Below are 15,572 nucleotides of genomic sequence, written 5' to 3'. Positions count from 1 at the left end.
GGTTTTAAAAATATATATATTTACACACACACACACACACACACACACACACACACACACAGTGGCCAGATGCAGCGGCTCATGCCTGTAATTCTGGCACTTTGGGAAGCTGAGGTGGGAAGATTGCTTGAGGCCAGGAGTTTGAGACCAGCTTGGGAAACACAGCGAGACTCTGTCTCTACAAAAAATTGTTTAAAAATTAGCTAGGCATGGTGGTGCACACCTGTATTCCTAGCTACTCAAGAGGCTGAGGCAGGAGGATTGCTTGAGCCCAGGAGTTTGAGATTACAGTGAGCAATAATTATGCTACTGCACTCCAGCCTGGGAGACAGACTCTCTCTCTCAAAAAAAAAAAAAAAAAAAAAAGACAGAAGACAACACTAAAACAAATTCAACCCAAAAGGCAAACTGAATATTTCACTTAATTAAGAAAGAACTGGTCTGACTAAGAATAGTGCTCTTATTAGCCAGATGATAAATTTGGCTTACTGAAATGAAAACCAGTTAAATAAGTATTATTTAACCATTGTTTATATCTCACTTGCTTTTACCAAACCTATGGAGATTTCATCAGAGAATAAATTGTAGTGTGCATTTTAACTTGTTAACAATGGCAATAATTTGTTTCACTTATCAAACCTATATGTGCCTATTTCATGCTAGACATTACATCAAGAAATTAAGATATGAAGGTGAATATATAATAGTCTCTTCAGCTTCCAGAAACTCACAATCTAATGGAAAAGATAGCTAGATAAACAACAAATTATAGTATAATGTCATGTGTTACAAAAGTGGAACAAGACTTTTATGGGAGAATGGAAAAATAAATGGTTAAATATACCCATATCACTTTAGAGTATGTTCAGTTCTGAATAACCAAAGTCCAAAAGCTGGTTTAAATAAGTAAGAGATTTAATTTTTCTCACATTATCAATAAATACAGATTAAAGGACAGGCATGGTGGCTCATGCTTGTAATCACAGCACTTTGGGAGGCCGAGGTGGGCGGATCACAAAGTCAGGAGTTCGAGACCAGCCTGGCCAACACAGTGAAACCCTGTCTCTACTAAAAATACAAAAATTAGCTGGGCGTGGTGGCAGGCACCAGCTACCAGGGAGGCTGAGGCAGGAGAATCGCTTGAACCCAAAGGCAGAGGTTGCAGTGAGCCGAGATCGTGCCACTGTACTTCAGCCTGGGCGACAGAGCTAGACTCCATCTCGGAAAAAAAAAAAAAGAAATACAGATTAAGGCAGTTCTGGGCTAGTGCTTGTCCTTAGTGATACTAAGGACCCAGGCTCTTTCTCTCTTCCTGTTCTGCTACCTTCCATGAGTGGTTTTGTCTTCACTGCTGCTTGTCATATCACATCTGCACTCCAGATGGGAAGAAGAGAGAAAAGGGCAAAAGGAGAGTGCCAGCTCAGCCTGCTCCTTTTAAACAGGAAAACAATGACTTTCTTGGAAGTAACACCGAATAGACACGGTTTATATAGACCAGAAAGGTGTCACATGGTCTGGAAAATAACTTTTTTTTTGCTTGGTACATTGCACCCTGAACACAATTTCTCAGTTAGTAAAAAAGAACAGGAGAAGCCAAGCACGGTGGTTCACACCTATACTCCTAGTACTTTAGGAGGCCGAGGTGGTTGGATTGCCCGAGCGGTAGTCCCAGCTATTCAGGAGGTGTGAGGCATGAGAATCGCTTGAACCCGGGAGGCTGAGGTTGCAGTGAGCCAAGATCGTGCCACTGCACTCCAGCCTGAGCGACAGAAGGACACTCTATCTCCAAAAAAAAAAAAAAAAAAGAACAGGAGAATAGATACTGGAGAGGCAACAAGCACAACCCCTTTGGCTATGCAAAATGCATATAAATCCTTCTTTCCATCTGTAGCATACATCCACTCACTACCTGTCCCCTCAGGTCTCATCTAGACTGAAATCAAGGATGTTTGGTTACAGTGCTAGTGTTTCCATTAGGTCCTGCTGAGCCTCATTGTTCTAAGGTGGAGATACTGGGGAAGATGCCCTTCTTTGGGGCTTTAAAAGCTTTCATAGTCTACTTCCTGGTGATAGGAGTTTAGGGGCCCAGGGGTGGCCTTAAGAGGTGAAAAGAGCTAGCCAGGCCTGGAGTTTCTTGGCAATACAATTCACTCAAAAACTTTATAAGCTTCAAATTGGTTTCCAGTCATTTCCATGCACAAGTAGCCACAGAAAAATAAGGATGAAGACTGTCATCCTTTGGTAGCAGCCTCTACGTTCTGCCCATCTCCTTAACCCTTACCTTAGGGGCCACTTCTTAAAGCAATGAAGAATAGTAAGTTCCAGTCAGTAAATGAATCATATATCTAATCTTTGTCTGGAAGAATGAGAAAGTCTTGAGGCATCGATCTTATTTCATGTTACAGCTCAGAATTTCCCTGCTTGTACTGGCTTTAGTTTTAGTGGATAAGAACAATTAGCATTTTTAACTCTCCAAGGCTCTAAATTATGGGACTCTTAATCAATTAGACTCTAGGCTGTAGACAGAATTGTGCCTTTTAGCAAAGTAATACTTTTTTCTATCTCTGCTTTGTGGGCTAGCTTAATCTGCATTCAACCTCTTTTTCAATTTTATTTATCATTATTATTATTTTTTGAGACAGAACCTTGCTCTGTCTGTCGCCCAGGCTGGAGTGCAGTGGCTGTGATCTCGGCTCACTGCAACCTCTGCCTCCCATGTTCAAGCAATTCTCCTGCCTCAGCCTCCCGAGTAGCTGGGATTACAGGCGCCCACCACCATGCCTGGCTAATTTTTATATTTTTCAGTAGAGACGGGGTTTCACCATGTTGGCCAGGGGGCTGGTCTCAAACTCCTGACCTCAGGTGATCTGCCCACCTCAGCCTCCCAAAGTGCCGGGATAACAGGTGTGAGCCAGCGATCCCGGCCAATTTTATTTTGCCTAACTCATATCACCAGGAAGTGGACTATAAAAGCTTTAACTGTTGGTCTTTGTTACTAGTCACAGAAGCAGCCTCTGGCTGCTTAGAAGCTGGAAAGGCATTAAACAGGTTGTTTCAAATTGTCCAGAACCAGGCAGGCTTGAGACTAAGCTTCCAGAAACAATGACCAAAGCCATACCACAGAAATAGGCTAATGATAAAAACTGCTGCTCTCTCGTGGGGTGCCAGAAAAAAATGCTGCCATTTTTACCCTCATGGAACACAAGATGCTACACTTCGGATGTTGCCAGAAACTCAACCTTACTATGTCTGCTCTTGCCACCATACCAATGCTACTTCTCTTCTCCATGAGGAACTTGATCCTGAAACCACTGATGCTACTCCTGCCAGCAAAACAGATTCTGTGCTGAATACAAGTGAGTGTGCTTCACCTAATCAAACGCCTGTGCCTGAGCTACAAAGGAAACAGAGGAACTTAAATTCTCTAGGTTCTGTCTTAGGGATTTAGAATTCAGGCAGATTGGAAGTCTTGAAACAAAGCAGCGTTATTTGAAGAGTAGTAAATTCCCAGAAAACCTGTCAAATATCCACTATTTTACTTCTTTACCCAATTCACCTTATTGGATAATCTTTGGCATCAAAAGATATTTTACAACTGAATTCTTCTGTATTCATTAACTGTTAACACTTTAATTAGGTCAAATGCACTCCAACTATATTTATATGCTATATACTGTTTTTATTATAATTTTGTCTTATAGATTGTAAAATCCCTGACTTTGCTTTCCACATTAGATACTGAGTACTATAACAGCCTTAGTTTGTTGATGTTGCCAGATCTTTAAAAAGGAACTGCATTGAGATCATGGTTTATTTCCTGTACTTCAGGCCCCTGAAACGCCTTATCTACTCTGGTCATATTAGATATATCAATAAAAAGCAATTTCTTTTTTTTTTTGAGACGGAGTTTTGCTCTTGTTGCCCAGGCTGGAGTGCAATGGCGCAATCTCGGCTCACTGCAACCTCCGCCTCCCGGGTTCAAGCGATTCTCCTGCCTCAGCCTCCTGAGTAGCTGGGACTACAAGCATGTGCCACCATGCCCGGCTAATTTTGTATTTTTAGTAGAGATGAGGTTTCTCCATGTTGATCAGGCTGGTCTTGAACTTCTGACCTCAGTTGATCCACGTGCCTCAGCCTCCCACCAAGTGCTGGGATTATAGGCGTGACCCACCGCACCCGGCCAAAAAGCAATTCCTTGAAATAAAGTCTTTATCTCAATTTTGGACCAAAGTACAAATTTAGGTAAAGATTTTAAAATAAATTATTATGGATAGCATAGTTTATAATAGTGTGACAATCACAGAGATATTTGGAATCCAAATAATTTAAAGGACATTAAAATATTTCACACTGAAGTTCCAGAAATACTTCTAAATATTTCAAGCACATTATGTATATTATATAAATGATGACTTCAAATTAGGGAAACTGTAACACAAAAGTGTTTTCTTCCCAGAACCTGTCCCTAACTCATCAAGTTTGGATCTGTAGCTCTGCTTATGTGTCTCAGCAGTCTCTGCCTCCTATCCTGGCATTCCAAGAACTGTAGCTGTACATTTAATTGCCTGTCTTTTACACAGCACTCTAAGTTCCACTGGATAGGAACCAGATCTGTCTTGCCCATTGTTCTATCCCTGGCGTCTAGCATAACAGCGATTCAATGTTTGTTGAGTCACATTAACATGTCTTAGAACACAAACCATAAGATAGTTTTAGACAATGACAAATCTAAATAAACCAAAAGGCAGAAGTTTAAAATACATCTAAAGAACAGCTTCTTGGAGCTTTTTGTTTTTTTAACTGTATCGTTCGTTTAGAAGTACATCCCTATTTTTTCTTACATATATGCCAGAGAGGAAGTTAAAAAATATGGATCCTATTAAAAAACTAAGTACCGTAAAAAATAATGACCCGAAGTCCTGGGTTTTCTTGGGACCATCTTTATCATAAATTTGTACGAATGAAAATATATATGTTTGTCAAAGGCCAACACTGAAACCAGGCGACTAATATCCACATTAGAAAGAGGGTTTTGACAAATGTTAATAATAAAACAGCAAGTATAGAATAATGAATAACCTGAGTATTTTTCTAACTCATAGTTAAAGGCTATGCTAGACCAATGATGAATGATATGAATAAAAAATTATGATTTGTACAAATTCAGGCACCTGAGATAATACAAAAAATAGAGCAGAAAATATTTGGAAAGAAAAATAGTTTCCAAAATATTTTTTAAAGATTTTAAAAATAAGGAATTATTTCAAATGATAAAATTATGCTTGTAATAAAGAACCTTGAATTCACCGGCAAGGATAAAGGAAGTAAATGTTTTCCTTTTATTATTTTTAATTGATACATACTATATATGCATATTTAAGGGGTACAGTGATAGTTCAATGCATGTATATGTGTGATGATCAAATCAGGGTAATTAGCATATCTATGACCTTATTGATCATTTCTTTGTGTTAGGAATATTCAAAATTTGCTCTTCTAGCTATTTGAAAACATACAATAAATTGTTAATTATAGTTACCCTACAGTGCTATAGAACACTAGAACTTATTCCTCCTAGCTAATTGTAATTTTGGACCCATTAACCAACCTCTAGCTATCCCCCTCTGACCCTTCCTGGCCTCTAGTAACCACTATCTGCACTCTGTTTCTATAAGTTGAACTTTTTTAGGTTCCACATGAGTGAGAACATGCAATATTTGTCGTTCTGTGCCTGGCTTATTTCACTTAACATAATGTCTTCCAGGTTCATGTATGTTGTCACAAATGACAAGATTTCCTTGTTTTTATGGCTGAATAATATTGCATTGTGTGTGTGTGTGTGTGTGTGTGTGTGTGTGTGTGTGTGTGTGTGTGTATGCACCACATTTTTTTTAATCAACTGTCACTGGATTCTTAGGTTGATTCCGTATCTTGGTTATTGTGAATAGTGCCAAGATAAACATGAGAATGCAGCTATTTCTTGGATACAGTGATTTCCTTTCCTTTGGATACATACTCAGTAGAGGAATTACTAGATCATGCAATAGTTCTATGTTTAGTTTTTGAGGAACCTCTATACTGTTTTCTATAATGGCTATCCTAATTTACATTCCCACCAACAGTGTATAAGAGTTCTCCTTTCTCCACATCCTTGTCAGCATTTGTTATTTTCTGTCTTTTTGACAATAGTCATTCTCTCTGGGGTGAGATGATATTTCATTGTGGTTTTAATTTTCATTTCCCTGATAAGTGATGTTGCGTATTTTTTCATATACTTGTTGGCCATTTGTGTGTCTCCTTTTAAGAGATGTCTGGAAGTGATTTTTAAAAAAAATTAAAAATGAGAAATTATTTAAGATAAAGAGTTCCTGCTGGGATTCAAAATTTAATTTCCACTGTAGATATTATTTGAATGGAAGAAAAAGAGAGATTGATTTAGAATTCACGCATACAAGGTGATTACTCTTCCAAATGAAGTTTCATTTTATTACTTTCAATTTCTATTATTTTTCATTTTGAGACATTATATTTTTTAGAAACACATAATCACAACTTTCCATTTTCTAAACAAGAAGCAGAATTTTTATTCTTGTCATTTCTACGTGACAGTATAGACACTGCTAAAATATTTGAAGGAATTTTGCTTAAAGTAACTTTTAGAAAGAGAGATTAAGGAATCAAATTTCTTACATTTTGGACCTATACATATATATATGTATATATATGTGTGTATACATATATATACACACACACACAGAAAGAATGAGGCTATTATTAAGGCAATATGTATTAATACTCATAAAAGAGTCAAAATATTTAATTCTGTGGGAAAATTAAAGTATACATAAAACCAAAGGATAAAAAGAAATCTAAATAATATTCAATAGTGTTATATCTAAAACAAGGCATTTGAAATAGATACTAAATTTAGTTATTTAAAATAACCTAAAACTTTATTCATATGATAAAAATAATATATATCTGTGATTACCTGTATAAAATGTTGGCTATACTACACAGAAACTCTAAAGATCATTATTAAGATAAAAGCTGATGACTACACATCTTAAGTTTAGGATTAACTATGTTTTCTGCCCTTATAAACATAACTTAGATCAGCCAGGTGCAGTGGCTCACACCTGTAAACCCAGCATTTTGGGAGGCTGAGGCAGGTGGATCACCTGAGGTCAGGAGTTCCAGACCAGCCTGGCCAACATGGTGAAACCTTGTCTCTACTAAAAATACAAAAATTAGCTGGGCGTGGTGGCAAGCTCCTGTAATCCCAGCTACTTGAGGGGCTGAGGCAGGAGAATCACTTGAACCTGGGAGGTGGAGGTTGCAGTGAGCGGAAATCATGCCACTGTACACCAGCCTAGGTGACGAGAGCGAAAATCCGTTTCAAAGAAAAAAAAAAAAAAGGGCACGGTGGCTCATGCCTGTAATCCCAGCACTTTGGGAGGCCAAGGCAGGCGGATCACAAGATCAAGAGTTTGAAACCAGCCTGACCAACATGGTGAAACTCCGTCTCTACTAAAAATACAAAAATTAGCTGGGTGTGGCGGTACACGCTTGTAATATCAGCTACCCAGGAGGCTGAGGCAGGAGAATTGCTTGAACCCGGGAGGCAGAGGTTGCAGTGAGACGAGATCACACCACTGCACTCCAGCGTAGGAGACAGAGCAAGACTCCATCTAAACTAAACAAAACAAAACGAAAAAACCATAACTCAGATCTAATAATTTCTTTTTTTTTCTTTTCTTTTTTTTTTTTTTGTGAGACAGGGTCTGGCTCTGTCACCCAGGCTGAGGTGCAGTGGTGCGATCTCGGGTCATTGCAATATCCGCCTCTCAGGCTCAAGTGATCCTCCCACCTCAGCCTCCCTAGTAGCTGGGGCCATGGGTGCACATTACCATGCCTGGTGAATTTTTCGTATTTCTGGTAGAGACAGGGTTTTACTATGTTGCCCTGGCTAGTCTCAAACTCCTGAGCTCAGGTGATTTGCCCACCTCAGCCTCCCAAAGTGCTGGGATTACAGGTGTGAACCACAGTGCCCAGCCCAAGATCTAATAATTTCTGATAAGTCCCCATTAATTAAAAGTAACTTTAAAAGCCCTTTGGACTTATACTACCAGGTAGGAAGATCTATTATAAGGCTGTAAAAATCAAGACATGAAGGTATATGATGCAGGACAGAAAAACAGATTGAAGAGATTATAAAGTCCAGAAACAGATGCACACATATATAGTTCTTAGATTTTATGACAAAGGTGATCCTGTAGAGTAGTAGGGGGAAGAGTGGTCTTTTCAATAAGTGTTGCTGGATCAACTGGATAGTCACATGTAAAAAAATAAATCTTGACCCTCCCATCTCATACCATATACAAACCAACTCTAGTTGATATAAACAACCAAATGGAAAAGATCAAACAATATAGCTTTTTTTTTTTTTTTTTTTTTTTTTTTGGGAGACGGAGTCTTGCTCTGTTGCCCAGGCTGCAGGGCAGTGGCTCGATCTTGACTCACTGCAAGCTCCGCCTCCCGGGTTCATGCCATTCTCCTGCCTCAGCCTCCAGAATAGCTGGGACCATAGGTGCCCACCACCATGCCTGGCTAATTTTTTGTATTTTTAGTAGAGATGGGGTTTCACTGTGTTAGCCAGGATGGTCTCGATCTCCTGACCTCGTGATCCGCCCGCCTCGGCCTCCCAAAGTGCTGGGATTACAGGCGTTGAGCCACCACGCCTGGCCTTTGTTTTTGTTTTTGAGATGGAGTCTCACTCTGTTGCCCAGGCTGGAGTGTGGTGGCATGATCTTGGCTCACTGCAGCCTCTGCCTCCCACATTCAAGTGATTCTCCTCCCTTACTTCCTGAGTAGCTGGAATTACAGGCATGCGCCACCATGCCTGGCTAGTTTTTGTATTTTTAGTGAAAATGGGGTTTCACCATGTTGCCCAGGCTCGTCTTGAACTCCTGACCTCAAGTGATCCACCCGCCTCGGCCTCCCAAAGTGCAGGGATTACAGGTGTGAGCCACTGCACCCAGCCTACAATAAAGCTTTTGGAAGAAAGCACAGGAGAATCTCTTCACGATCTTGCTTGAGCTAGTCAAAGATTTCTTTAATAGAATTAAAAAGCACTAATTATTAAGAAATCCATAAATATGACTACATTAAGAACTTCTCACAGAAAGATAACATTACCAAAGTGAAAAGGAAAGCCACAAAGTAGAAGATTCTTGTAATACATATACCCACCAAATTTCTATATTCAGAACATACAAAGAAATCCTTTAGATCAACAATAAAAAGGCAGACAACCCCTTAGAAAAATGGACAAAAGACTCAAACAGGCACTTCATAAAAAAGAATATCCAAATGTCCACTAAACAACTGAAAAGGTCCTCATCATTCATTAGTTACCAGAGAAATATAAATTAAAATCACAATGTGATACCACCACATATCCATCAGAAAGGCCAATTTTTTTTTTTTTTTTTTTTTACATGTGGCTTGTTTTACATGTTGGTTACATGGGTATTTCATTTTATGAAAATTCACTGAGCTATACAATTACAAATTGAGTACTTTTTTGTTTGTATGTTATACTTCCATAGTCTGCTTAAAAAACAAAGCCTTTCAATATATATATTTTTTGAGGCAGGGTCTTACTCTGTCGCCCAGGCTGGAGTACAGTGGCATACTCGCGGCTCATTAAGGCCTCAACCTCCTGGGCTGAAGTGATCCTCCCACCTCAGCCTCCCTACTAGCTGGAATTACAGGTGTGCACCACTGCATCCTGATAACTTTTGTATTTTTTGTAGAGGCGGGGTTTTTTCATGTTGCCCAGGCTGGTCTTGAACTCCTGGGCTCAATCTAGACTCCTGCCTTGGCCTCCCAAAGTGCTGGGATTACAGGAATGAGCCACTGCACCTGGCCAACAATTTTGAATGTCATCTTTTTGTTGTTACTGTCCCCAAAGATACTTTAGAGAATAAAAACAAAATATTATGTGAAATGAGATTTTGCTGAAGCACCATCTGGAGTCTCGAGATATGATGGAGGATCCTCAACTATATTTCCATTTCCTATAATCCTAAATCTTCTGAATTAAAATAACTAATTATAGGCCAGGTGCAATGGCTCATGCATGTAATACCAGCACTTTGGGGGGCTGAAGCAGGTGGATCACCTGAGGTCAGGAGTTTGAGACCAGCCTGGCCAACAAAGTAAAACCCTGTTTCTATTAAAAATACAAAAATTAGCTGGGCATGGGTGGTGTGTGCCTGTAGTCCTAGCTAGTTGGGAGGCTGAGGCATGAGAAATGCTTGAACCCAGGAGGTGGAGGTTGCAGCGAGCCAAGATCGCACTACTGCACTCCAGCCTGGGCGACAGAGTGAGACTCCATCTCAAAAAACCCAAAAAAAAAACAAAAACAAAAAAACAAAAAACAAAACTCATTATAGAGTAAAAGGTAAAGAAATAGTCTAGGTAAGTGATAAATGATGCCAGAAAAATTAAGAACTGTAAATAAATATGATAAAAATATATAGTTGTACTGTCTTCATAATTAGTGTTGAAATATAAGAAGATAAAAATAAAAAATAAAAATTGAAACAAATGTGGCAAAACAAAGTTTCATAATTCAGTCTTATAGACTATAACCTTGTAAAATATATATGCTATATACCATATTGTCTGGCAAAATCAAGCTGTTTTATCACTCAGCATTACATGTGCTATAATTATTCAATATTTTAAAACACATTGCAGTTAGAAACCATTTTTCTTTAATTTTACTTACTCAGTGTATTGTGGTCTGTGTGAATACCTTGTATAACAGATGTTCTGAGTAATAATTCAACATCAGAACCTATTTTCATTAGCTGTTAAGAAAACCAAACAAATAGAGTAAGTCCTTTAGGTGTTTCATATGAATGTACTGTTTTTGAAAACGATAGTTTTACTATAATTTCTTTTCAAGTAATACAGTAGTTTCTCCTTATCTGCAGTTTCAGTTATCCGTGGTCAACTGTGGTCTGAAAATATTAAATAGAAAATTCCCAAAATAAATAATGTATAAGTTTTTAATCACATGTCACTCTGAGTAGCATGATGAAATCTCATGCCATCTGCTCCAGCCTGTCTGGGATGTGAATCATTTATTTGTCCAGCATATCCATATTGTATACACTGTCCACCTGTGGTCACTTAGTAGCCATCTCGGTTATCAAGATTGACTGTTGCCACACTGCAGTGCTTATATTCAAGTAACTCTTATTTTACTTAATAATGGCTCCAAAGCACAAGAGTACTGTGTCTAATTTATAAATTAAACTTTATCATAGGAAAGTATATATAATAAAAACATAGTATATAGGATTTGGTACTATCAGAGATTTGAGGCATCCACTGAGGATCTTAAAATGTATTCCCCAATGATAAAGGGGGACTACGGTACTGCTTTTAACTTTTTATAACCATTCCAACTAGTATAGAAAGCTCAGATATGCATATAGTTTTAACTTTTATCTATCAATTCTATATTTTCTTCCAAAACAGATTTAGAGTATTTTTTGTTACAATGTGTATTTTTAAGTGTGTTTAAAATGCACATTTTTGGGAGGGCAGTTGAATCTTTCTTTTATAGAATTAGATGTTCAGAACACTTGAACTCCAACTTTGGCTGTGTCATTAAGTGTATGGCCTTGGGTTAATCACCTACTCTCTTTGAGTTTCAGACCTCATCAAATAATATGTACTTGAGAGACCCTGAGACCCTTTCAGGGATCTGTGAGGTCAAAATTACTTTCAAAACACTACAGCCTTCTGCATGGTTTGAGTTGTCAGCAGTAGAGCTTTCTCCATCAAAATACCATTTTTTACCTTTACAGAACCACTGACAAATTAAGATTATTTAGACTTAGCTATTTGGCAGATATTTTCTTATTTTCTTAGAAAAGTAGAGTGTGTCACTTCAAAGAAAACAACTGACAGTATTTGCTGACAATGACAAAACTGAAGCTTTCAAGCAAATATCAGAATTCTGGAGAACTTGTATCTGCCAGGGTAAGCTTGATAGCTTCACAATACTTAAATATTTTTTTCTTGCTTTGTTTTTGAGACAAGGTCTTGCTTTGTCACCCAGGCTGGAGTGCAGTGGTGTAATCATAACTCACTGCAGCCTTGAACTCCTGGGCTCAAGTGACCCTCCCACTTCAGCCTCCAAAAGTGTTGGGATTACAGGTGTGAGCCACCATGCCCAGCCTTAAAGATTTTTCTGATGAGATGGATATTAGTATTGATAGATATAATTTAAAAATATGTAATGAACTATGTCAATATCTGGAAGATCTGTAGTATTTAATGAACCTGCATTTTCTAAATCATCACTGCGTGATGTTACAAAATCATGCATGGGTAAAAAATCCATTCACAGGGAAATATCAATTAAAGTTCACTGGTCTACCTAAACGAAGCTTTGAGGGCATGGAAGAGAATATCCCAAGAAGAGGCAACAGCATAAAAACCCTAAGTGAGGAAACTTTTTGGTAAATTCAAGGACCCTCAAAGAAGGGGCTGAGATTGGAAGAATGAGGGGGATGTGGTTCAAGTTGAGGTGGCAAGGTAACAAAGGTCAGATGACAGTCTTGTAGGTCATGTTAAGCACTTTAGATTTTTCTTGAATGAGATGAAGAGTCATGGGGTTGTGAGTAGTAGAGTGCTGAGATATGCCTTTTTTTTTCTTTTTTTAAGGTTTATTCTGTTTTTAAAAGTACTGAGAATAGGCTGTAGGGAGTGCGGCTAGAAGCAGGAGGCCCATTAAGAGGCTGTTATAACAAGAGAGATGATGGTGGCTTGGACTCGGAGATAATTACAGGGAGGATAAGAAGTAGTTGAGTTCTGTATATATTAATATTTTGATATTTAAGTCAACAGGATTTGCTATCAGATTGGATATAAGTGTGAGAGAAGAATAGCAGTCAAGAAAGCACCAAGGTTTTTGGTCTGAGCATCAAAAGGAGGGAGCTGGAATTAACTGCCATGGAGAGAGCTGTGGGAGAGCAAAGCCTCATCTCCTGACACCTGGGAAGGGGCTTAGCAGGGCAGAGAAGGAGAAAATAATGGGTCTCCTCAGCCACTGGAGGTACATAAACTGAGTCAAGTCCTAGATATAAGGCTGGAAACAAGGCTAGTTGAGGAATAAGGGATTAGGCGGGTCCAGAGAAGATGAGGAGGAGGTGGTCTGCATGAATCCTGGAACCCCCCCCCCGCCAAAAAAAATTCCATTTGTCTGACAGATAACAGAGTTGCACATTGGAACTAACCTTTAACTGGGTGACAGAGTGAGACTCCGTCTCAAAAAAAAAGAAATTACCTCATGTCAAGGCGTAGTATTAAAAAATATTCACAATTACGTGGCTTATGCCTGTAATCCCAGAACTTTGGGAGGCTAAGGCAGGAGGGTCGCTTGAAGCCAGGAGTTTGAAACCAGCCTGGGCAACAAAGCAAGACCTCCTCTCTACCCAAAAAAATAAAGAAAAGAAAAAATCACAATTATCTAATTGTTTTACTCTTTTCCAACTACAAATCTGTGTAAGGCTGAATTTTCTTCATATACTTCAACCTAAAAAACATATTGCAGGGGGCTGGGCACAGTGGCTCACGCCTGTAATCCCAGCACTTTGGGAGGCTGAGGTGGGTGGATCACCTGAGGTCAGGAGTTCAAGACTAGCCTGGCCAACATGGTGAAACCCGTCTACTAAAAATACAAAAATTAGCTGGGTGTGGTAGCATGCACCTGTAATCCCAGCTACTCAGGAGGATGAGGCATGAGAATTGCTTGAACCCAGAGGTGGAGGTTGCAGTGACCTGGGATCATGCCACTGCACTCCAGCCTGGGCAACAAGAGCGAAACTCCATCTCAAAACAAAAACAAAAACAAAACAAAAACAAAAAAACCAATACCACTCTTCTCACTACATTTTTAAAAATAGTTATTTTTCATAAATATCATGTTACTTTTTAACATATAATAAAATTGTTATTTTAAAATGAATTAATCAATATATATTTTTAAAAATTCTCAGTTTACATTTCTAATATGGTAAATAATGATATAAACAAAGCTTTTTGGGGTCCTCAATTTGTAAGAGTGTAAAGGTTCTTTGAGATGACCACGTTTGAGAACTGCTGGTCTAGAGAGGATGCCTGAGATTCCTTTTAGTGCCAAGACTGTATCAACCCTCTAATAACAAAGCAATTATTTTAAAATTACTAAAATCTTAATATTTTTCAGTTGCAGAAAGTACAAAATATACATTTGTATATAACAAATATGGAATTTCTAGATTGCTTAATGTTAAATTAATGCTCTGTAAGTAAAATGAATTTGGGAGATTGTAGTTCATTTTCCCAGTTTACTTGATATAAACAGACCTCAATTTAAAAGTCTTTAATCATAATTTCAAAATTAAAAAATTATCATATGTTATGAATTAGTCTACTGAATAGCAAACAGTACAAACTTCCTCATATACCTTTTAACTTCCCTTCAAGTCATGAGTTGATTATATGGTCATTTTAATTTCTGCCATGAATAAAAATTACATATTCCCTATTTGCCCTATCATGTTTCAGCAAAATCTTTCCCTTTTTGTTTATTTTATAGAGAGGGAATACTTAGGCTATCTCATTTTGTCTCATGAGCTCCATTATTAAAGGTATTTACTATTTCAAAAATAGCATTTTCTCCACTAAATATAAATGCATTTTTTATCAGTTTTTTTTAAACATCTGGAAATTCTATGAACATAGAAAATTTCTCTAGTTTGTACCTTCCTTTAAAAAGGATTCTTTTTAAAGGAATCAATTCTTGGAACCATATCAATTCTTGGAACCAAATCAATTCTTGGAACCATAACTATCTTGCAAATTATTTTCCATTTTTTTGTTTTGTTTTCTTCCTAAGGGTCCTTTCCTTACCTTTATATAGTTAGACATAGGAAGCTGAGGACAGAGATAATATGTATATGCCAGAATACATAATATATAGGAAAAGAAAAATTGTGCATTTTTTTCAATAAACTTCTACTAGGAGTATTAGGGAGCTGAGAAAGTAGTGTCTGTACAGTGTCTTCAACTAGAGCAAGTGACCAAAATGCAAATACAGAAAGCAAAGCAAGAATAGTTCATACTGCGGCTGTTTGTCATTGCCAAGATGGGATTAAAAATAAATATCTAACCGCTTAGTTCAGTTAAGAGTAGAAGTTTCCTCTGTAGTTCTGAGTTACTACAACACTCATTCTCTTTAGTTCCAGTCACTTGCTTTAAGTGAAGATAGAATTTCTGTAGGTTTCTGGGTTTGTTCAGCTGTTCTGGCTTTGATCATGGCTATTTCCATGTTCTGTTGATGGGGTACCTTGCTGTATTTTGGTGTCGGCAGATGAGCCTGAGGAGGTGAGCCATACCAAATAAGTGAAGGTTATCTACAGTTGTGATGGCCTTAACTATCAAGTAATGGTTTTTATTTTACATAACCCCTCTATCTTCATCATTTCCTCTTTGACAAGATAATT

The 15,572-nt window shown here is 38.0% G+C and overlaps 1 protein-coding gene across 3 annotated transcripts in view; it reads right to left on the bottom strand.

Annotated features, from left to right (window-relative positions):
* Positions 1–15,572, bottom strand: part of LYRM7 (LYR motif containing 7) — a 34,485-nt gene that overhangs the window by 7,521 nt on the left and 11,392 nt on the right. The window contains exon 4 of one of the 3 annotated variants that reach the window (NM_181705.4): positions 10,799–10,880. The exons of the other annotated variants lie outside the window; for them this stretch is intronic. Within the exon in view, the coding sequence (NP_859056.2) occupies positions 10,799–10,880 (82 nt within the window). The remainder of the gene's footprint in view (positions 1–10,798; positions 10,881–15,572) is intronic. 3 annotated transcript variants of the gene reach the window in all.

Source organism: Homo sapiens, chromosome 5, assembly GCF_000001405.40.
Source record: "Homo sapiens chromosome 5, GRCh38.p14 Primary Assembly".
Taxonomy (NCBI): domain Eukaryota; kingdom Metazoa; phylum Chordata; class Mammalia; order Primates; family Hominidae; genus Homo; species Homo sapiens.
The sequence above is the reverse complement of the archived record's forward strand: the minus strand, read 5'-3'. Positions and strand labels throughout refer to the sequence as shown.